Below are 25,889 nucleotides of genomic sequence, written 5' to 3'. Positions count from 1 at the left end.
ATATAAATACAGCATGAAGTAATTGCTGGGCAGACTCTCTCTGGATGATGTGTGATTTGAGTTTGGCCTTGAGATCTAGAGTGGATTTGGATTGGCAGAAGGAAGAGAGAAAACATTCTGGAAGAACAGAAGGAACAAAGTCATGGAGGCAAGGATGCACTGAGCACACGTAGAAGGCAGGAAGGGGCCTGAATCAGGACTGAGGCTGTAGCACGCGGGAGCAGACTCTGCACAGGAAAGAGAAACGAGATAGAGGAGTTCATGAACACAGCTCGAAGTCCTGGACTGAAGCTGCAAGCACCCGGGAGGAGCTGTCTCAGATGGAGGAATGAGATGATGAAAACAATCAGAAAGCCACACCCAGTGTCGACTGCAGCAAGGACACATGGCTTAGTAGGGCAATGAAGAGTCTGGTGTAGTGAACTCGGCAAATAATGACAAAGTCACAGGTGACGGAGATGGAGGAGCATGAGGCTAGGTGACAGCTATAAGACCACCTTCCTCTCCCTATCATGGCTGCCAGATCAGGTATGCATGCTCCCACCTTCTTTTTCTTGGGATTCTAATACTTTGAGTGACTGCAAGTGCTGGGCAGCAGTGCTGGTGGTGGTGAGGTGGAAGCTTTCGACTCAGAGTTAGTCGGACGTGAGCCTATATAAGATTTGAGGCAAGGATGAACCACACTTCTATTAAAAAAAAATCATGCATGACTTCTTTCAAAAAATAGATACGGAGTGCCTAGAACACTGGAATATTGTTCAAGGTGCTGGAATGCTGCAGTGAATAAATGAAGGGCGTGACTACCCTTATAGAGTAACTTTCAAGTTGAGGAGATACTAAAAACAAAGTAGTGAAGATATGTTTGATGGTGATAAGTGATTTGGAGAAAGATACAGCAGGGTGCAAGGGATAAAGGCGCTAGGATAGGTAGGTCTTATTATTAATACTTTATATGGGCTGGTTGATATCCTTGCTGTTAATGAAACTTCTTAATTGATTCCTGAAAAGATTGAGGAGACCTTGACCTTGGGGATACCTGGGGAAAGTGTTGCAAGCAGTAGAAGGACTTGAGGCAACAAGGTCAAGGTGGCCGGAATGCAGGGACCCCAAGGGAAGGGTAGTGGGAGATGTAGTGTGGAGATCTGGCTTCTGTGCCACGCTCAACCAGAGGAGGTGGTGTGGGATGGGGTAAAAGGAGTGAGATGGGGTGAAGAACCTGTGTAAAGAGTCTGGCTCCTACTCTGAGTGACATGGAGAATCACTGTAGAGATCTGAGCCAAGGACCAATAAGATCCAATTCATATTTTAGATGACTCATATTCATATTTTAGATGATCCAATTCATATTTTAGATGATTGCTATATTGAGAATCAACAGCTGGGGGCATGTGAAATGATATATCTCATCTGTTTGAAAATCAATAAAGTATCAGGAAAATACTGGGCATTTTTTGAACATTTCCAATATGCCAGGTTTTATCCAAGCACTTTTTAGAGAAGGTCTCAGTAAAAACATACCCCAAAGCTTTGAAGAGAAAATGCAGTTACTCCAAGTTACATTTGAGGAACATGCTTAGTAGGTATAAAAAACTTACCCATAGTTGCACTGCTAGTAAGTGATAAAAGGCAGGTCTGATTTCAAAGTCTATTCTCTAACCAGAAGCCTCTCCCACCGCTGGTTTTGCTTTGCCTTTCAAAGTTGAAATCATCCAGATTCTTAGAAAACAAAAGTTGAATGGACCTTGATAAAAGAGTCCTCTGATAGAGGGTGTCCAATCATCAGCTAGGACTTTTTTCAAAATGCTTTGAAATTGTTGTTAGATAGTGAGAAGTGCGTACTTGGGTAAAGTGTTTATCTGAATAACGCAGAAGGTTGATGATTGATTCTGGCCCAGAAGCCGGATCTCCGGACTCTTCAGCCATGGTGCCATGGACAGAACACTAGGACGTATGCAGGTAACACAGCTGTCCGTACTGCAGCTGACCCCCAAGAATGGGTTGATGTCCTCATCAGGCAGAGGGATTGTTCTTGTCTAATACAAATCAGAAAACCAGTCTGCAATGACTAACTGTGTCATGTAGCCCTTTGAATACGCTTGGCAAAGAAGATTCCTTAAGTGCAAAATAACTGTCTTAATGTCATATTGAACAGATTGGTGTTGGCTATTTGGCAATCAGTCCAGTCGGAGAACTCAGCTATTAAAGTAGAGTTACATCTTGCACAGGGTTTCAGACATTTACTTATAAAACTTTTGCTTTCCTAAAGTTAAAAAAAAAAAAAAGTCCCCCAACTGTGGAAAGTAAAACTAGCATAGAAACTCCTTTGGAAAGTTTCTTCATTGGAGAACAGTGTACCATTGCTCAGTAAATCCAGCACAGTTACTTTCACCCCCAGCTTTAGAGTTAAATGTGCATATGATGCAAATGAACTGTTTAAATATCTACAAGTCTGTGAACTGAAGGAGTTTCTAAAGGAACACAGATGCTTGAGCGTGTATTGACCAGGGAGAGGATACCTGTGAATTTTAAGGGGCATATAACTCAATTGCTTCCTCGCCCCTTCCGTGTCCCACTTATATCTTTGCTTGGAAAACTATGTTCCAGATTTTTGCACATCACTGCCAGCCATTGGAACAATTTCTCCTTTTTATTGCTTTAAAGGCAGCATTTTAACCCTTCTCCTAGGGGATTGAAGAGCTCTCTACTCCTCTCCATGTTTTATTTATTATTAATGCCTTCTCATCTGCCTTGGGTCATTCTGGTAACCCTGAGTTTATCCTACTTCTCTGTGACTCAGTTTCCTTATCCACCACATGATTTTCAAGATGCTTTCAAGTCATTCTAGTTTATGATTCTGATTTATATCTCTTTAGACTTATTTTATTAGATTATCATTAAAGTGTGTCAAGAGAAAAATAAAAAGTCCCCATGCTACACACATTTTGTGAGAGGAAAGGGCCATGACTTGTTTCTTTCCAGTGTAAATGTTTATGTCTTTAGGTCCACGGGGTGTGTGTGTGTGTGTGTGTGTGTGTGTGTGTGTGAATAGCTGCGGTAGGAGCCACATGAACTTGTGTGTAAAGAAATCATACTTTCTTCCCTGAGAAATTCTTTTACTTTTCTCTTTTCAGGAGAATTAAGAGAAAAGAGAAAGACATCTTCAAAACCTTGGTGGAGCAACTTCTAGACCTCCTTCTCAGGATAGGAATGACGTTTAAAATAAACATCTCCAGGCTGGAATGCATGAACCCAGCATCCATTTGTCCATTCTTCTCCCTCTGGGTAGCACCACATTTATATCCTGCCAGACAGATGTGTCTGATGGCCTCCAGAGAAGGGCATGTCACCCCACTTCTCAGAGCACTCGGTCAATGGTCCCAGTGTCCGAGGAACTTGTCAGTTGTGAAATTCATTGTGTACCCTGACTCTCCTTTGCCACATTATTAACCAGTGTTGCCTTGCTCATTCCCCAGTGGACTTGCAGAACAGATGGCTATTATCTTCTGCAGGGCGGAGCATGGGGAAGCAGACGAATCTTTAGACGAAGCTAGTCAGTTACTTCCTTCCGTCCATCATCACTCGTCTTAATAACCTCCTCCATCCCCATCCCATATCCACACCACATAAATTCCCATTAAAATACTAGATAGAATACATGATGAAATAAAACACAGAGCCTGTTAAATCTCTTTAAGGCCTCCTGCCGCCAGCCTTTTGCCTAGGGCAAATGGGCCTTGGTTATCATTGTTTCTAATCTAAGTCTGATTACCTGTGAAACAACAGGTGACTGTATAGTTAAGACCAGCAAAGTGCCAGGTAGATGGCAGCAGCAATTACGTGCATGAATTCGTAAGCAGGGTTCACATGAGAACAAAAAAATTATCTCACTGTGGCAGCCCCCAAAGCTGTCCAGGGTAGATTCATCTAAATTTTTCTGATGAATAATTTTCTCTTGAGGTTAGATGATCCCAAAAGCCTCTAGGGTCCTAAAATATCAGCATGTAAAGGACAGACATTGGTATAACTCAAGTGAAATATATATGCAAATAGGCAAAGTGAATTTTTTACATTTTGTTGAAATCAGTGGTGTACGTTTTGATGGGATGAAGCAGTAAGGGAGGAGTATTATGATACATTTAGATAGGGAAGAACAGGGAGTAATTATTACCTTTTATTGTTCTTATTGGCTTAGGAAAAAGACTTTATGGAAAAGGGCTCTTCTTAAAAGCTTCTGAAAAAAATGAGAGGCCAGACCCTTGAAGAAAAAGGTAGAATAGCCATTTCTCAGGGATGGTATTCTGCCTGGGAAAAGTTTAGGGAGGGGCAAGGAGTGGTAATTTAGTTGGAGAACCAAGCAGAGGAGCCTGAAAAGAACAAGAGAAGAAGAGGCTAGGAGAATGACGAGGGGTGAGTTTATTCAAGGCTGTGTAGGAGTAAAACTTTGTTAGTTCTACTTGAGGTTTTCAAAGCAAAGGCTGAGCATGGGAACCAGATCCCCTGCAGGCCAGTTTCCCATTCAACTCCCACCTCTTATCTTTCGAAGCCAAAAGCAGAATGCAAGAACCTTGAGGTAAAGGAGTGCTAGAAGCTTATTTTCTAGCCTCCTGATAAATATTTCCATCACCTGTACAGTAGTCCTACCACAAGGCTGTCCTGGCTCAACTCAAACATCATCATTTCAGGAGCGATCATTAGCTTCCAGCCTACCGCTCCATAGAAAGATGGCCCTAGCCATTTGAAGACTTCCCTTTCCTTCTTCCACACCTGGGCCACTCTGGATTTGGACTTCAGAGCTGCCCTCAGTTTCAGAGATAATGACCTGGTGAGAAAGTACCCCCTGGTTTCCTTAGTGCTAGGAAGCAATGCCACAGCTGTCCCTTTCCTGTTCCATTCCAAGTCAATGTGCTGGCAATGTAGGGAAGATTCTCCAGGTGTCTGTCTCATTGACGGAGGTTTACTGACTGCAGTTGTTATTACTCCCTCACTTTTGAAAGATATTTTTACTTAATATTGAATTCCAGGCTGATGGTTATTTTCTTTTGGCATTTAAAAATACTATTCCATCTGCTGTTAAGTATTTCCCAATGCCCATGACGTAAGAAGATGAAAAAGATATGTTTGGATTCTCAGCGTATTTCGAAATGCATTTATTTTTAAAGTGAAGATAAGTTAAAGACTTTAATATTTTCCAAAGGAAATGGTTTTCTTGAAGTAATAGGACAACTTTTTTATGCTTTTTTATTTTTGAGATGGAGTCTTGCTCTGTCGCCCAGGCTGGAGTGCAATGGCGCAATCTCGGCTCACTGCAAGCTCCGCCTCCCGGGTTCACGCCATTCTCCTGCCTCAGCCTCCTGAGTAGCTGGGACTACAGGCGCCCGCCACCGCACCCAGCTAATTTTTTGTATTTTTAGTAGAGACGGGGTTTCACCGTGTTAGACAGGATGGTCTCGATCTCCTGACCTCTCGATCTGCCCGCCTCGGCCTCCCAAAGTGCTGGGATTACAGGCTTGAGCCACCGCGCCCGGCCTTTTTTATGCTCTTAATGTTAAAGCAAGAGAAAAAAAATCGGCCGGGCGCGGTGGCTCATGCCTGTGATCCTAGCACTTTGGGAGGCCAAGGCGGGCGGATCATTAGGCTAACAGGGTGTAAACCTCGTCTCTACTAAAAATACAAAAAAATTAGCCGGGCGTGGTGGCGGGCGCCTGTAGTCCCAGCTACTCCGGAGGCTGAGGCAGGAGAATAGTGTGAACCCGGGAGGCGGAGCTTGCAGTGAGCCGAGATCGCGGCACTGCACTCCAGCCTGGGCTACAGACCAAGACTCTGTCTCAAAAAAAAAAAAAAACAAAAACAAAAAACCTTGCAGTCCTATCTCACCTTGGGACCTGAGCTCTCAAAACACTTCCTCCCCTTTAGCTGGGGTTCACACCTTTTTCAAAGGACTGAAATATCTTGTGACCTCACTCCACAGGCAAGCTGATGGGTGTGAGGCTCTCAGCTGCTGCGCGGTTGGTGTGAGGGCTGGACATGCACCCTGGAGCCTCTGTGTGCTCTGGAACAAGGAGGGAAAGTCACTCTAGCCTTGTCTCAGAGTCTAGGAAAGGTCAGAAGCAGTGGCTGGTGAGCAGAACAGCTACTGGAGGTGGAAGCTGCTAGGGATGGTAAAAGGTCATTCTCAGCATACATAATTCAGAAGGTCTGAGCAGAACTTCCCCTTTGTCTAACGACCCCTTGTAGCAAGCTCAACCTAGACAGAGGGCTAGGTCTCTAGATCCTCAAACTATTCAAAAGGAGACCTCCACTATTCTAATATGATACATTTTAGCAGTAAGTGCTGTTTAGTTTTTACTGCAAGATAATTTTTACCATTTAATCTAATTCCTTCTTGTTTTATCCATTCTTGATGACAAGGTTATATCTTTTAGACAGCAATAAGTTGGATAAATGGCTAAGAGGGTGGATTCTAGCCAGTGTCTCACTCTTACACATTTAGCACAGTGTCCTATATTCAAGCTAATGTTCCCCAGTCCTCCCCTGCTACATACACATATACCTCAAGCTCCTAGTGAGAGCTGATTCTTTCTATTATCCACATAAAAAACCTGGAGGCCCAAGAGCGGGAGTCCTAGGCTGCCTGTGAGAGTCTGTGAGTAAGGAGGCCCAGTTCTGCTGCTCAAAAGTGAGAGTCTCTTCAATGAGTAAATCTTCTGAGTTGTATCCTGGCATAAAGTTAAAGGAGAAAAGACATAGGGCTAACCCCAAGCCAGGACGCATATACCCACAAGGGAACACTAAAAACTGGCCACTGCACTATCCCCCTTCCTGGGCCTGCAGACAAATCCAGGCTGACTGGAGTCTCAGGAAGACACGCTGACATAAAGGATTAAAAGAAATTATCGCTAGGAATGAATTACACCATCAAGGGTAAGAATTAGATTGTGGATCATTCAATAATGTGACAAACAACCTAGCTACTGGGGAGGCTGTGGGGGGAGGATCACTTAAGCCTAGGTGTTTGAGGTTACAGTGAGCTGTAACTGTGCCGCTGCACTCCAGCCTGGGAAACTGAGCAAGACCCTGTCTCATAATAATAATAATGTGACAAACAATTACATGAATATTTTTAAAATTTCCGTAATGTTGCACAACTGGAATGGTAAATTAATTGGATTGATTTTCCAGTTTTTACTACGACCATTTTGGGTAAGAGATTCTGACTGGCCCTTTCTCTCTGTGCTCAGCTGTGTGACTTGCTTTGGCCAATGGGGCTTAGCAAACAAGGTGCAAGCAGAATCTTAAGAAACACTTGCACTTGTGAATTGCTGTTTGCTTTCTTGCCATTCTTGTTTGTTTGCCATAAACACGAGATATCCCTGAGCTAACTTGCTGTAGGAATGTGAGAGACACAGAGGAAGGCCAAGTTTCCACAGCTAAGACCATCCTAGACTAGTCAGTCCACTTCTGTTCTGCAGCTGATAGCAAATTCATGAGTAAGCCCAAAGAAGCTTAGCTGAGTCTGGATCAGATAAATAGAACTGCCTATCCAACACGTAGACTCATGATACATAGCAAATGTTTTTTGTTTCAAGTGATTGGTTTTGTGGTGGTTTGTGACATAGCAATAGCTAACTGATACAACTTTTTCTGATGAGATAATATTGAAGAGAAATACTGGGAGAGCAAGCACGTAAGCTAACAAGAGAGCTATCACTGTGTCTCTGTGAGATGCTGGAGTACTAGAGAACATATCTTCTCTCTTTACTTCCCTCCTGCCAGTCCTCCCATCCTATACAGCATGTTTACTGAAGTCAATCTGTGTATATTTTTGTTTATGACTGTTTAAAGGTGATCATGGGCAGAGGTGTGGTGTGTATTCAAGTATGTGCACTTGCATATATGCTGTGAGATCAACTGGGAAGAATCTGAAATTGGATTGTAGAATTTAGCCTGGACTGTCAGCTCTCTTTTATCTTATTTTTGAGTTTATGAGCCTTACGCCCCATTTCAGATAAATCAGCAGGTATTTGGCACATTTCCTCATCATTCACAGGGATGAAAGCTACGAAAGTCAGTGGCAGGCTTTTGTAAAAGACATCAAATGGGTTAGGAAGTAGGATGATTGGGGGAAAGAGGAAGAAGAACAGGGTAAAGATAACAAAGAAAAGTTTATATTTCGGCTATCTGGAGAATCAAATATTTTTCTAGCAATCTCTAAGCAGAATGTATTTGTTGATTTGCCAAGAAAGCTCTTCACAGATTAAAGCACTAGCTGGATGGCGACACAGGAGTTGTCCCAACTGTCCTTCGGATGCAAGGCATGCCTTTGTTAACATCCTGGAGATACTGACGAGAAACACATCCCTCTTGGCCTCATATTTCTCCCACTACATCCAGAGCCCAGAGCCAGTGTGGTAGATGACCAAAATGACCATAATTCTTTGCTGCTGACTCCCATCAAATGGTGGGGCCTATTCTCCACCCCCTTTAAATCAGGATTGTCCCAGTGACTCACTTTCACCAGCGGGACATGAGCAAATGTGACACAAGCAGAGGCTTGGAAAGAACTTCCATATTGGACCTTGCTCTCTTGCTACTCTTGGAACCTGGAGCCACCACATGAACAAGCCTGAGTTACCCTGTTAGAAGGTGAGAGATAAGTAACACAGTTTCCCTCATTTTTCTAATCAATAGCCATCCAAACTCAGAAGCAGATCTACTTAGTTGATCAACTGCTGGTTGAAAACCAAGAGTGAACCAACTTAGATCAACAGAACACCTAACTGAGCTTAACCTAAAGTGCTGAACCACAATTGAGTTAAACTAGTGTTATTGTTTCATGTCATGCAATTTGGGGATGAAATGTTAACTGACTTGGCTTACAGCAGAGTTTTCCTGAGACAATAGATTTTCACAAAAATTAAACTAAAAGACAATTTAATTTTGAACTATAGACTGATATTTATTTGAACTCAATCTGATTTCCTTTAGTGTCCTTCAGATAACATTTAGAAAAGGGTAAGCACTAGAGGCTATTTATAAATACCTTTGGGAAATGTTCCCTCTTTGGAATTATTCCCATCACAGATGATACATACCTGAAATATTTATAATCAGGTTATGTGTTAAATAATAGATACTGGTCAATGAGCTACATAGACAGTGAGGAGCTGCTATGACTCCTGAGGTTAACCATCAGAGAATGATTACTATGTTCCAAACACTTCACACAAGTTATATGCAATTATTATTATCACTATTTTACATACAAGAAAATTGAGGATAAAGAAGTTGAGTGATAGTTTTGAAATGCTGAATCCAAGATCAGAGGACTTTCTGCTATACCACAGCGCTTCCTTATGCCCTAAACCAAAGGAAAAAAAAAAAGGCCAGGCATGGTGGCTCATGCCTGTAATCCCAGCACTTTGGGAGGCCAAGGGAGCGGATCACAAGGCCAAGCAATCAAGAGCATCCTGGCCAACATGGTGAAACCCTGTCTCTACGAAAAATACAAAAATTACCTGGGCGTGGTGATGAGCACCTGTAGTCCCAACTACTTGGGAGGCTGAGGCAGGAGAATCGCTTGAACAGAGAAGGTAGAGGTTGCAGTGAGCCGAGATCATGCCACTGCACTCCAGCCTGGTGACAGAGAGAGACTCCGTTTCAAATTAAAAAAAAAAAAAGAATTTAATATGCCAAACTCAGGTGTGATTTGCACCAGACCGAAAAAACAGTGATTTAGTAAACTCATTCACTGTGGTATGCATAATAAATTAAGACAAAGGAATCCTCCATTCAGTAGGAGAGCAAAAATAAATGAAATAAGTAATGAACAAACAATAGAGAAAGCTAATAAAGCAAAAAGTTTATTCTTTGAAGATATTGATAAAATAATAAATGTCTGGCAAAACAGATGAAGAAAGAAAGAGAAACACAAATTACTCATATCAAGAATGGAAGAAAAGATATCATACAGATGTTTCAGATTTTAAAAGGACAATAAGAATACTATGAAAAAATTTATTCCACTAATTCCCCAATTTAAAACAAATGTACAACTTTCTTTAAAAATACAGCTTGCTAAAATTGACAAAAATTAGAAAATTTTAATAACTCTTTGTCTATTAAAAAATTAAATTCGCAATACAAAATCTTTCCACAAAGAACACCCTAGCCCCAGATGGTTTTACTGGCGAATTCTATCAAACATTTAAATAAGAAACGAAATCAATCACATGGAAACTATTTTAGAAAATAGAAAAGAAGGAAACACTCCTTAATTTATGCTATGAAGGCAGTGTAACTCTAATAACAAGCTATCAAAAGTTCCAAAGACCTTGTAAGAAAAGAAAGTTACTAACCAACATCTCCTCAAACCATAGACAGAAAAATTCTTAAAAATAGATTAATGGCTGGGTGTGGTGGCTCATGCCTGTAATCCCAGCACTTTGGGAAGCCTAGGCAGGTGGATCACAAGGTCAAGAGATCAAGACCACCCTGGCCAACATGGTGAAACCCTGTCTCTATTAAAAATACAAAAATTAGCTAGGCATGGTGGCACGTGCCTGTAGTCTCAGCTACTCAGGAGGCTGAGGCTGGAGAATCGCTTGAACCCGGGAGGCAGAGGTTTCAGTGAGCCGAGATTGCGCCACTGCACTCCAGCCTGGGCAACAGAGTGATACTCCATCTCAAAATAAATAAAAATAAAGAAAGAAAGAAATAATTAGCAAATCAAATTAAGCTGTATATTAAAAGACCAAGTAAGGTTTATCCTAGTAATGCAACCTAGGATATCTAGGAATGCAAGATTGCATTCCTACAATAACTTAACTAATAAAAAAGAACCCAACTATATAATCATCTCAATAGATGGAAAAAAAGACATTTGAAAAAATTATCACTCATTTATGATTATTTTAAAAACTCTGAGAAAACTAACAGAGGGAATTTCCTCAAACTGAAAAAAGCAGCCCTTTCTGCCAAATCCAAAGAAGCAAAACCAAAACTCTACCATTAATACCATATCAATTATTAAATATTATACACCTTCTCCCTAAGATTGAGAACTAATCAAAAATATTTGCTATAGCCATATTTATTCAACATCGTATTAGAGGTCCTAGCCAGTGCGATAAGGCAAGACAAAATGTTAAAAATATACAGATGGAAAAGTAAAAAGTAAAACTGTCTTTATTTGTAGATGACAGAATTGTTTACATAAAAAAACCCTAAGTAATCTATAAAACAACTACTGGAACTAACGAGTAAATTTAGCAAGTTTTCAGGAGGTGTAAACAATACAAAAAAACAATTATGAAAATAAATTTTAAAATGTAATTTTAAAATACTGTTTCGGCAGCATATAAAAGCATAAAGAATTTGGAGATAAGCTTGACAAAAGGCATGTAAGAATACTATATAATACTGTATAATAAGGCTGAGAAAAATTAATGGAGACCTAAATAGAAAGATATGCTGTGTTCACGGATTGAAAGATTTAACATTGTTTGATGTCAATTCTTCCCAAATTGACCTATAGATTAAAAATTCCCTTTGTCCTTTTCAAGAAAGTGATGGTAAATTCTAAAATATATAAACACACAAATAATCTAGACCAAAAATTCTTGAAATAAACAACAAAGTTAGGTAGCTCAGATAACCTTATCCCAAGGTTGACTACATAGCCTTGGTAATTTATCTAATGTAATATTGGTATCGAGGATAGAAAATTAGATTAACAAAACTGATCATTGAGATTCCAGAAATAAAGACCAATAAACATATGTTAATTGATATTAACATAAAACATCAGGAAAATTTAGTGAAGAATGCATAATATTTTTTAGGACAGAGTAATGAAACAAATAAATATATATAATATATATATATAAAATATATATGGGAAACAATAAACCTTTACCCCTACTTCACAACATATATAAAATTATTTGAGCTAGATCATAGACCTAAATGTAAAACCATAAACTATAAAGCTTCTAGCAGGAAAGATAGTAGACTATCTTTGGTATTTTAAGGTAGGAAATTATTTTTTAGATGGAATACAAAAATATCTAAATATAAAACAAATTAATCAATTGGAATTCATAAAAAACCACCAAAAAATGATAAAAAACAAAAAACCTTCACACAAATATCTAACAGACCAAAATAAAACTGATTAACAACACCGAATATTGGTGGAGCAATTGCAACATTCATGCATTGCTTGTGAGAGCGTAAAATAGTACAATCACTTGAAAAAATAGTTGCACATTCCTTTTTAAATAAACTATACAGAGAGTGATGCCAGTGACATGGCAATGTAAGGACCTCTGAAAATTTTCCCTTTCATAAAACAATTTTTAAAACCTACAAAAAAAAGTCAGAATCAACTTTTTTTGAACTCTGGAAATTAACTAAAAGTTTGCATCAATCAGGGAAGATTTAGTCAAGAAAAACAGCTAAATCTTGGTAAGAACAGTGAATTTCTGGTGTTTTAAATTTACCCTATTTTAATTCTTATCTCTCCCACTCCATGAAAGCCTTGAAAATCAATACCTTGCTTTCTGAGTAAAAATCAGCAGGCTGGAGGCCACCAGAGGGCGCAGAAGAGGGTTGGCATTCTTTCAAAACCTAATTCCCAGAGATTATCATAATTTGACCTGTCTGGTGATTCTCTGGAAGATTCCACTTGCAAAGCTGAGAGTATTTGAACTGACTTGGCACTGGCCCAGTATAAAAAGCTTTTTCTTTTAGGGGTGTTTGTTGAAAACAATTATGGACAATTATTTATTTCTGAGGCTGCCTAAGACAGTAGATAACAGTTGGGGCAAACAATGGCTAAGAACAACAACAACAATAAAACTTTAAAATTAAAAGGAAAAGGTGGGAATAAGTTTACATGGGGGCTTTGAAAAGCTCTGACCAATTTTGGGGAACCTAGAAAGTCACATGCATGTATAAAACTATGGATATGCTCAAAGCTGTGTACATGTTCACGAACAACCAAAGAAGACCCTAAACTCTCACCTCCAGCTAGTCTTAAGATTCTGGAAAGCAGGAAATGAAGATAATGCAGAATTTTAAGCTGCCTGGCTGAGTGTCTAAGGGCTATCCAAACATGCACACAGCTGGAAAACACTGAAAGGCTTATTGCTACCCAGCATTTAAAGAAATGTCTGTCAAATCACTAGTTGACCCCTAAGATAACTGAGCAGAGATTTTAGTGGCCACACACAGCAAGAATACGTCTTACAGAGTTAGTTTACAAAAGTCACTGAAGAAACCAAAAACAGTGACATGAGCAAAAATAACAAATCCTGGAGAGAAGTATCTGATTTTCAGAATTTCCAAATTATATTATTTAAAATATTTAATTTTCAACAAAAAATTATGAAGCATGCAAAGAAATGAGAAAGTATTGTTCATACACAGAAAGAAAGTGATTAATAAAATCTGTTCCAAAAGAAACCCAGATATTACTAGAAAGACTTTTATTCAACTATTTGAAATGTGTTTTTTTAAAAAACTAAAAAAAAGTCTAAAAACCCAGAGGATGTCTCACTAAATAGAGAATGTCAATAAAAAGAGAAATATTTAAAAGAACCAAATAAAAATTCGGAGGTTGAAAAATACAATAACTGAAATAAGAATTTCACTATAGGACCTAAACATAACATTTGAGCAGGCAGAGGATGGACTCAGCAAATTTAAAGATAGGTCAACTGAGATTATCCACTCTGTGAAACAGAAACAAAAAAAGAAACAAAAATAAAGAAAACGGAGCAGAACCTTAAAGATCTGTGGGGCACCAATAACAACTATATATAATGGAAACCCCAGGAGGAGAGGAGGAAGAAAAGGGAAAAAAAAATTGAAAAAATAATGGCCAAAATATCTAAATTTAATAAAAACCATTGCTGTAAACATTCAGAAAGCTTAACAAACTCCAAGCTAGATAAAACAAGAAAGATCTATACCTAGACATGTAATTAAATGATTAAAAGCCAAAGTCAATAGAAAGAGAGAAGTGGCTCATCTTGTAAAAGTGACCTTCAATGTAATTATCAACTGGTTTCTCATCAGAAATTATAGAGGCCAGAATACAATAGGATGACATGTTGACACGTTCAAAGCACTAAAAGTTAAAAAAAATGACAACCAAAAATTATATATTCAGCAAAACATTTCTTCAAAAATAAAGGCAAAATTAGGAGACTCAAAATAAACAAAAACTGAGAGAATTTATTGCTAGGAGAACTGACCTACAAGATATATTCAAGTGGGTCCTTCAGGCTAAAATAGAAGAACAGTAGAAAGTAACTTGAATCCACATAAATAAATTAAGAGCACAGAAAAAGACAACTAATAGGTAGATACAAAAGACAGTGTAAATATATTTTTTGTGTATAATGCTTTTGTTTTTCTATCTGATTTAAAAGACAACTGCACAAACCCATAGTTACACACCTGTGTTGATTGGCACACAATGTGTAACATTTAGTTTGTATAAATATAACAGCACAAGGAAAGGTGGGCAGAACAAGGCTATATAGGAACAAAGTTTTTATATACCACTGAAATTAAGATGACATTGATCTGAACTATATTGTTACTAATCAATAACATTAATAAATAATAATTATTATTATTTTTGAGACAGAGTCTCGCTGTGTCACCCAGGCTGGAGTGCAATGGCATGATCTCTGCTCACTGCAACCTCTGCCTCCCAGGTTCAGGCCATTCTCCTGCCTCAGCCTCCTGAGTAACTGGGACTGCAGATGCCTGCCACCATGCCTGCTAATTTCTGTATTTTTAGTAGAGACAGGGTTTCACCATGTTGGCCAGGCTGGTCTCGAACTCCTGACCTCAGTGATCCATCTGCCTCAGCCTCCCAAAGTGCTGGGATTACAGGCGTGAGCTACTGCACCTGGCCATTAATAATAATTATTTATTGTAATCCCCAAAGCAAACACAAAAATATATAATAAAAGGAATGACAAGGAAAAAATTAAATTAGTACACTAGAAAATATATGTATAACACACAGAGACACAAAACAATAATGGAGGAATAGAAGGAGGATAAAGACATAGATATAGAAAATATGTAAAACATGTAGCAAAATGTCAGTCATAAATTCTACCTTATCAGTAATTAAATTAATTGTAAATAGATTAAACACTCCAGAAAAAAGGTAAAGACCAGCAGACAAATTTTTAAAAAATGATTAAACTGTATGCTGTCTTTAAGAGAAGACTTTAGATTCAAATACACAAATTGGTTAATAGTAAGGGAAAGGAAAAAGATATAACATGCAAATAGTGCCTGAAAGAAAACTTAAGTGGTGAGGCTAATATCACACAAAATAGACTTAAAGGTAAAAATTGTTCCTGATGACACAAAGGATATTTTATAGTAAGAAAAGCATCAGAAGTCCTAATCAGAGCAATCAGGCAAGATAAAGAAATAAAAGACATTCCAAATAGGAAAAGAAGAAGTCAAACTATCTGTCTTTGCTGACAGTATAATTCCATACCTAGAAAACCCTAAAGACTCTACCAAAAGGCTCCTGGAATTGATAAACAACTTCAGTAAAGTTTCAGAATACAAAATTAATGTACAAAACTCAGTAATATTTCTATACATGAACGTTCAGGCTGACAGCCAAATCAAGAACTCGATTGCATTTACAATAGCCACAACAAAATGAAATAAAATACCTAGGAATACATATAACCAAGGAGGTAAAAGATCTCTACAAGAAGAACTACAAAACATTGCTGAAAGAAATCACAGACGACACAAACAAATGGAAAAACATTCCATGCTCATGGATCGGAAGAATCAATATTGTTAAAATGGCCACACTGCCCAAAGCAATCTATAGATTCAATGCTATTCTCGTCAAACAGCCAATGTTGTTTTTCACAGAATTAGAACAAACTATTCTAAAATGTATATGGAGCCAAAGAAGAGCCAGAATAGTCAAAGCATTCCTATGCAGAAAGAGCAAAGCTAGAGGCATCATATTGCCTAACTTCAAACTATACTATAACACTACAGTATCCAAAACAGCATGGTATTGGTCCAGAAACAGACACATAGACCAATGGAGCATGATAGAAAACCCAAAAATAAAGCCACACACCTACAACCATCTGATCTTCAACAAAGCTGACAAAAATAAGCAATGAAGAAAAGAGGCCCTATTTAATAAATGGTGCTGGTATAGCTAGCTAGCCATATACAGAAGAATGAAACTGAACTTCTACCTGTCACCATATACAAAAATTAATTTAAGATAGATTAAAGATTTAAATATAAGACCTCAAACAATAAGAATCCTAAAAGAAAACATAAGAAACACCATGCTAGACATCAACCTTGGAAAAGAATTTATGATGAAGTCCTCAGAAGCAATTGCAACAAAAACAAAAATTGGGCCAGGTGCAGTGGCTCATGCCTGTAATGCCAGCATTTTGGGAGGCCGAGGTGGGCAGATCATGAGGTCAAGACTTTTAGAACAGCCTGGCCAATATGGTGAAACCCTGTCTCTACTAAAAATACAAAAATTAACTGGGCATGGTGGCGTGCGCCTGTAGTCCCAGCTACTCAGGGGACTGAGGCAGAAGAATTGCTTGAACCTGGGAGGCAGAGGTTGCAGTGAGCTGAGATTGTGCCGCTGCACTCCAGCCTGGGTGACAGAGTGAGACTCCATCTCAAAAAAAAAAAAAATTGACAAGTAAGACCTAATTACACTAAAGAGCTTGTGCACAGCAAACGAAACTATAAACAAAGTAAGCAGGCAACCTACAGAATCGAGAAAATATTCACAAACTATGCATCTAACAAAGGTCTAATATACAGAATATATAAGGAACTTCAGAATTCCACAAACAAAAAACAGATAACCCTATTTAAAAGTGGGCAAAATACGTGAACAGACGCTTTACAAAAGAAGACATATGAGCAGCCAACAAAAATGTAAAAAATGCTCATCACCAATTATGAGAGAAATAAAAATCAAAACCACAGTGAGATACCATCTCACACCAGTCAGAATGGCAATTACTAAAAAGTCAAACAACAACAACAACAGCAACAGATGCTAGTGAAGCTGCAGAGAAAAGGGGGTGCTTATACACCATTGGTGGGAATGTGAATTAGTTTAGTCACTGTAAAAAGCAGGTTGCAGATTTCTCAAAGAACTTAAAACAACTATCATTCAACCCAGCAATCCGATTACTGGGTATATATCCTAAAGAAAACAAATTGTTCTACCAAAAAGACACATGCAGCCATGTGTTCATTGCAGCACTATTCACAATGGCAAAGACATGGAATCAATCTGGGTGTCTATCAGTGGTGGATTGGATAAAGAAAATGTGGTGCATACACACCATGGAATACTACTATACAGCCATAAAAAAGAACAAAATCATGTCCTTTGCAGCAATATGAATGCAGCTGTAGGCCATTATCCTAAGTAAATTAACACAGGAACAGAAAACCGAATACCACATATTCTCACCTATAAGTGGGAGCAAAACATTAGACAAACATGGACATAAAGATGACAATAATAAACTGGAGACTATGAGAAGTGGGAGGGAGGCAGTGGGGCAAGGTTTGAAAAATTAACTGTTGGGTACTCTGCTCACTACCTGGGTGATGGGATCAATTGTATCCCAAACCTCAGCATCACACAATACATCCAGGTAATGAATCTGCACATGTACCCCCTGAATCTAAAATAAAAGTTGAAATTATAAAAATAAATAAATGAAACAGAAATGGTAAAGAAAAAAGGAAAGGATCAATTCATCAAGAAGATATAACAATTATAACTACGTTTGAACCTAACAACAAAGTCCCAAAATACATAAAAACTTTCAGAATTGAAGGGAGAAATAGACAATTCAACAGTAATAACCGGAGATTTTAATACCTCACTTTCATTAGCAGATAGAAAAATGTATAGATAGGAGATCAAAAGTAAATCAAAAACTTAAACAAAATTATAAACTAATAGGAACTAAAAGATATCTATAAAACACTCCAACCAACAACAGCAGAATGCACATTCTTCTCAAGTACACATGGAATATTCTCTAGATATACCATGTTAGGCCATTTAAAATTTTTTTAAATTTAAGTATTGTTAAGAGGATCAAAATTATTCAAAATATGTTCTTCAACCACAATACAGTGAAATTAGAAATCAATAACAGAAATAAATTTAAAAATTCAAAAATACATAGAAATTAAACAACACAATCTATATAATCAATGGGTAAAGCAATAAAACACAAAAACATTAGATAATAGTTTAAGGTGAATGAGACTGCCACACAATATGCCAAAACTTATGGGATCCAGGAAAAGTGTTCAAAAGGAAATTTATAACTATACATGTCTACATTAAATGGAAGACCTTAAATTTATACATTTAATCTTCCACTTCATAAAACTAACAAAAGAAGTGCAAACTAAACTTAAACAGAAGAAAGGAAATAATGAACATTTGTGTAGAAATAAAATGGAGAATAGAAAATAATGTAGAAAATCAACAAAAGCAAAATTTAGAGTTTTAAAAATGGTCAACAGAATTGATAAAGCCATAGACTGACAAAGGAAAAAAAAAAGAGAGAAGGCTCAAATTACTAAAATCAGGAATGAAAGAAGTTATATTACAGAAATAAAAACAATTATAAGGGAATAATATGAATACTTTTATGCCAACAAGTTAGATAACTTAGATAAAATGAATATACTAAAAGCATTTAAGCTACCAAAACTGACTCAAGAAGAAATATAAAACCCAAATAGACTTACAGCAAGTAAAGATAATGACTAATCAAAAAACTTTCAGCCCAGGACCAGATTGCTTCACTGGTGAATTCTCCCAAATGTGTAAGTATTAACATTAATATTTCCAAATTCATCCAAAAACTAGAAAAGGATAAAATATTTTCCAGCATAGCCTATGAGGTCAGTGTAAACTTGATATTCATCATAAGGAAAGAGACATACACACCACTACTTCTTATGAATACAAAGTACTATAAAACTAAATCTAGAAATATCAAAAAGGATTACACAATATGACCAAATAGGATTTATTGCAAGCATTCAAGCTTGATTTTGAGTCATACAAAATCAATCAATGTAAAACACAATAGTAACAGAAAAAAGGACAAAAACCACATATTAGGTTAGTGCAAAAGTAATTGCAGTTTTGCCATTACGGTAATGGCAAAACCGCAATTACTTTTGCACCAACCTACATTAACAGATGCAGAAAATCATTTAACAAAATCCAACATTTAAACTAATTGACGAAAAGTTACCCTGACCAAGGACATCTATGAGAACTCAGTGCTAACATCATATTTAGTGAAACACTGAAAGCTTCCCTTCTCAGATGAGTAACAAGACAAGGATGTCCCCTTTTGCTGTTTAGCATTGTATTGTAGGTTCCAGATGAAGAAATTAGGCAGAAAAAAGAAGATATCCATATCAGAAAGGAACAAATAAAGCAATGTGTATTTGGAGCTCATATAATCTTGTACCTAGAAACTCCTAAGGAATTCACACATGAATGCACACACATACACACTAAAACAATTAGATATAATTAATGAATTCAAACAGGATATAAGACCAGTATACAAAAATCAATTGCATTCCCATACAGTAACACAAAATAACCTGAAAATTAAATTAAATTAAAAATGCAATTTATGATAGCATCAAAAAAATTCTTAAGAATGGTAAATAATGAAATTAAGGCAGAAATCAAGAAGTTCTTTGAAACCGATGAGAATAAAGAGACAACATGCCAGAATCTCTGGGACACAGCTAAAGCCGCGTTAAGAGGGAAATTTATAGCACTAAATGCCCACATCAGAAAGCTACAAAGATTCCAAATTGACACCCTAACAGCACAATTGAAAGAACTAGATAAGCAAGAGCAAACAAATCCAAAAGCTAGCAGAAGGAAAGAAATAACTAAGATCAGAGCAGAAGTGAAGGAGACAGAGACATGAAAAAGCCTTCAAAAATACCAATGAATCCAGGAGGAGCTTTTTGGAAAAAAATTAACAAAATAGATAGACCACTAGCTAGAATAACAAAGAAGAAAAGAGAGAAGAATCAAATGGACAATAGACACAATAAAAAATGATAAAGGAGATATCACCACGGACCCCATAGAAATACAAACTACCATCAGAGAATACTATAAACACCTCTACACAAATAAGCTAGAAAATCTAGAAGAAATGGATAAATTCCTGGACACATACACCCTCCCAAGACTAAACCAGGAAGAAGTCAAATCCCTGAATAGACCAATGACAAGTTCTGAAATTGCAGCAGCAATTACTAGCCTACCAACCAAAAAAAGCCCAGGACCAGACGGATTCACAGCCAAATTCTACCAGAGGTACAAAGAGGAGTTGGTACCATTCCTTCTGAAACTATTCCAAACAACTGAAAAGAAGGGACTCCACCCTAACTCATTTTATGAGGCCAGCATCATCCTGATACCAAAATCTGGCAGAGACACAAGAAAAAAAAGAAAACTTCGGGCCAATATCCCTGATGAACATTGATGGAAAATTCCTCAATAAAATACTGGCAAACTGAATCCAGCAGCACATCAAAAAGCATATTCACCACAATCAAGCCGGCTTCATCCCTGGGATACAAGGCTGGTTCAACATACACAAACCAATAAACATAATCCATCACATAAACAGAATCAATGACAAAAACCACATGATTATCTCAATAGATGCAGAAAAGACCTTCAATAAAATTCAACACCTCTTCATGCTAAAATCTCTCAATGAACTAGGTATTGATGGAACATATCTCAAAATAATGAAAGCTATTTACAACAAACCCGTAGCCAATATCAGACTGGAAGGACAAAAGCTGACATCATTCCCTTTGAAAACTGACACAAGACAAGGATGCCTTCTCTCACCACTCCTATTCAACATAGTATTGGGAGTTCTGGCCAGGAAAATCAGGCAAGAGAAAGAAATAAATTCAAATAGGAAGAGAGGAAGTAAAAATGTTTCTGTTTGTAGATGACATGATTCTGTATTTAGAAAATCCCATCATCTCAGCCCCAAAACTCCTTAAGCTGATAAGTACCTTCAGCAAAGTCTCAGGATACGAAATCAATGTGCAAAAATCACAAGCATTCCTATACATCAACAATAGACAGGCAGAGAGCCAAATCATGAATGAATTTCCTTTCACAACTGCTACAAAGGGAATAAAATACCTAGGAATACACCTAACAAGGGAGTTGAAGGACCTCTTCAAGGAGAACTACAAACCACTGCTCAAGAAAATAAGAGAAGACATAAACAAATGGAAAAACATTCCATCCTCATGGATAGGAAGAATCAATATCGTGAAAATGGCCATACGGCCCAAGGTAATTTACAGTTTCTATGCTATTCCCATCAAACTACCATTAACATTCTTCAAATAATTAGGAAAAACCACTTTAAATTTCATATGGAACCAAAAAAGAGCCCGTATAGCCAAGACAATACTAAGCAAAAAGAACAAAGCTGGAGGCATCATGCTACCTGACTTGAAACTATACTACAACGCTATGGTAACCAAAACAGCATTGTACGGGTACCAAAGCAGACATACAGACCAATGGAACAAAATAGTGACCTCAAAAATTACACCACATATCTACAACTATCTGATCTTCAACAAAACTGACAAAAACAAGCAATGGGGAAAGGATTCCCTATTTAACGAACAGCACTGCGAAAACTGGCTAGCCATATGCAGGAAACTGGAACTGGATCTCTTCCTTACACCTTATACAAAAATTAACTTAGGATGGATTAAAGACTTATATGTAAAACCCCAAACCATAAAAACCCTAGAAGAAAACCTAGGCAATACCATTCAGGACACAGGCATGGGCAAAGATTTCATGACAAAAACACCACAAGCAATTGTAACAAAAGCTAAAATTGACAAATGGGATCTAATTAAACTAAAGAGCTTCTGCACGGCAAAAAACAAACAAACAAACAAAAATAAACCGAAAAAACTATCATCAGAGAGAACAGGTAACCTACAGAATGGGAGAAAAATTTTGCAATCTACCCATCTGACAACAGTCTAATATCCAGAATCTACAAGGAACTTAAACAAATGTACAAGAAAAAAGAAAACAACCTTATCAAAAAGCGGGCAAAGGATATGAACAGACACTTCTCAAAGGAAGACATTTACATGGCCAACAAACATATGAAAAAAAGCTCAACATCACTGATGATTAAAGAAATGCAAATCAAAACCACAATGAAATACCATCTCACACCAGTCAGAATGGCAATTATTAAAAAGTCCAAAAACAACAGATGCTGGTGAGGCTGTGCAGAAATAGGAACACTTTTATTCTGTTGGTGGGAATGTAAATTAGTTCGACCATTGTGGAAGACAGTGTGGCGATTCCTCAAGGATCTAGAACCAGAAATACCATTTGACCCAGCGATCCCATTACTGGATATATGCCCAAAGGATTATAAATCATTCTACTATAAAGACATATGCACAAGTATGTTTACTGCAGCACTATTTACAAGCAAAGAGTTGGAACCAACCCAAATGCCCATCAATGATAGACTGGATAAAGAAAATGTGGTACATATACACCACAGAATACTATGTAGCCATAAAAAGGAATGAGATTATGTCATTTGCAGGGACATGGATGAAGCTGGAAGCCATCATCCCCAGCAAACTAACACAGGAACAGAAAATAAAACACCACATGTTCTCAATCATAAGTGGGAGATGAACAATGAGAACACATGGACACAGGGAGGGGAACAACACACACTGGGGCCTGTCGGGGGCTGCAGGGAGGGAAGGGAAAGCATCAGGACAAATAACTAACACATGTGGAGCTTAAAACCTAAATGACGGGTTGATAGGTGCAGCATACCACCATGCCACACATATACCTATGTAATAAACCTGCACGTTCAGCACATGTATTCCAGAACTTAACATAAAATTTGAGAAAAAACAAAATTCTTAAGAATAAATTTAACAAAAATGTGCAAGGCTTTTACACTGAAAAAAAAAAAAAAACCATAAAGCTACTTAAATTAAAGAAGAACTAAATGCAAAGACATCTATGCTCATGAAATGGAAGATGTAATATTGTTAGGATGGCAATATTCCCCAAATTGATCTAAAGATTTGATGTAATCCCTATCAAAATCTCAACTGTCTTTTTGCTGAAAATGATAAGTTGATACTAAATTCATATGGAAATAAAAGGACCCAGAATAGCCAAAACAATCTTGAAAAAGAATAAAGTTGAAGGACTGATTAATTTCAAAAATTAGTACGAAGCTACACTAATCAAGACTGTGTGGTATTGGCATAGGATAGACATATTATATTGATCATGAAATAAAATTGAGAGTCCAGAAATAAAGTTATTCATTATCGTCAAGTGATTTTTGATAATGGTACCAAGGCAATTTAATGCAGGAAATAATGTTTTCAACAAAGAATGCTGGAGTAACTAGATATCCAGATGCAAAAGAATAAAGTTGTTGAACCACTTCCTCATAACATACATAAAAATGTACTCAACATGAACTAAAACTTAAGTGTAAGACTAAAAATGAAAAAAATTATTAAATGAAAACACACAAGTAAATATTCATGACCTTAAACTAGGCAATGATTTCATATATATGACACCAAAAGCACAAGCAACAAAATTTAAAATAGATACATTGGACTTAAATCAAAATTTAAAACTTTTGTGCTTCAAATATTATTATTTAAAAACTGTAAATGCAATCTAGATATTGGGAGAAAATTGTTGCAAATCATATATTTGATAAGGGTCCATCATCCAGAATATATAAAGAACACTTAGAGTAACTCAAACGTTATGTAGTTAAATAACCCAATTGAAAATGGGCAAAGTATTTGAACAGATATTTATCCAAATGGCCAGTAAGCACATGAAAGGATGTTTATCATTAATCATTAGAGAAATACAAATCAAAACCACAATGAGATCACTTCACACCTACAATGTTGTCTGTGACCAAAGAGTAGAACGATAGCAAGTATTGGGAGAAATTGGAGCCCATACATTGCTGATGGGGATCTAAAATGGTACAGCTGCTTTGGAAAACAGTTTGGCATTTTCTCAAAAAGTTAAATGTGAAGTCATATTACCCAGCAATTCTAATTCTACTTCCAGTTGCATATCCAAGAAAACTGAAAATACGTTCACACAAAAACTTGTATGTGAAAGTTGACTGCAGCATTCTCTGTAATAGCCAGAAATTGGAAACAACCCAATGTCAATCAACTGAAGAATAGATAAAATGTGATGTATCCATATAATAGATTATTTGGCAATAAAAAGGAATGAAGTACCGATAATATGCTTCAACATGGATGACTCGTGAAAATATTATGGTAAGTAAGAGTACAGATACAAGAGACCACATATTGAATGATTCAATTTATATAAAATGCCCAGGAAAGAAAATACATAGAGGTAGATTAGTAGTTGCCAGGGACTGAAGTTAAAGGGAACTGGGGAGTGACTGACTGATAATGGGTATGTAGCTTCCTTGGGGGATGATGAAAATAGTCTGGAATTGGGGATGATCATTAGACAACTTTGTGAATATAGTAAAAACTACAATTGTCCACTTGAAAAGGGTGACGTATATGAAATAAGAAGAAATATATGTATATTGGTCTCTGTCCTCATTTCCTCAAAAAGAAATCTCCTGAATGATACAGTCGCTGGAGCATCTTTCGTTCTAATATTTGGCCTTTGATGTTTATGTGTAGCACAGAGCTCCTAAATCCCTTGGAATTTCCTGGGATTCCAAGGAGCATCTTTTGTTCTGATGAGGCGACTCTTGCTGAACTCCTGGATGGCTCCAGGATGGGGTCTGATCACCAGAAAGACCAAGCCACAGTGAAAATCTTGGAACTTTCGGCCCCACCCTCCGTCCTCCAGGAGGAGAAAAGGACCCTCCGTCCTCTGGAAATGGAGTTAATAACCGATCTTGTCTATGCAATGAAACCTCCATAAAAATCTCTAAAGTACAAGGTTTTAGGAGCCTCCACTTGGTTGAACACATCCATGTGCCAGAGGGGGGATATTCTAACCCCAAGGGACAGAAATATCTGTACTTGGGACCCCTCCAGACCTCATCCTATGCATGTCTTCATCTGGCTGTTCATCTGTATCCTTCATCATATCCTTTATAATAAACTGATGAACATGAATAAATGTTTCCTTAAGTTGTATGAGCTGTCATAGCAAATTATGAAACTAAGAAGAGGGTCATAGGAAGCCCCAACTTTTAACACAGTAGCACAGAAGTGTGAGTAACCTGGAGATCCACTACTTGAGATTGGTATCTGAACTGGAGGGTAGTCTTTGGGACTGAACCCTTAACCTGTGAGGCTTACACTAATTTCAGTGTCATCATTGAATTGCAGGATACCCAGCTGGTGTTGAAGAATTAGTTGGTATGGAAAAAATCCACACATCTAGTGTCAGAAGTCAAGTATAAGAAAAGGAGGGTTATTTTTCTTTAGTATGTGAATTGTATCTCAAAAGTTAGACATTCATTTTTTTCTATGACTCTGCAATTCCACTCTCATATGTTTACCCAAGAGAAAATACAATATACATCACAAAAAGATGTGTACAAGAATGTTCAGGTAAGCTGTGTTCCTGTCATCTAAAAACTAGAAGCAGTCCAAATGTTCATAAAGAGAGGAATGAATAAATAAATCATAGGTTATTTATACACAGTATACCATGCAGCAATAAAGATAAT

At 37.4% G+C, this 25,889-nt stretch overlaps 1 long non-coding RNA gene across 1 annotated transcript; it reads left to right on the top strand.

Annotated features, from left to right (window-relative positions):
- Positions 1-320: 320 nt before the first annotated feature.
- LOC124907980 (uncharacterized) lies at positions 321-3,248 on the top strand. The gene is made up of 2 exons (XR_007088085.1): positions 321-528; positions 3,132-3,248. It is a non-coding gene; the product is annotated as an uncharacterized LOC124907980 (long non-coding RNA).
- The last annotated feature ends 22,641 nt before the right edge of the window (positions 3,249-25,889 follow it).

The sequence above is a fragment of the Homo sapiens genome, chromosome 2 (assembly GCF_000001405.40).
Source record: "Homo sapiens chromosome 2, GRCh38.p14 Primary Assembly".
NCBI lineage: Eukaryota > Metazoa > Chordata > Mammalia > Primates > Hominidae > Homo > Homo sapiens.
This window is presented reverse-complemented; position numbering and strand designations above follow the sequence as displayed.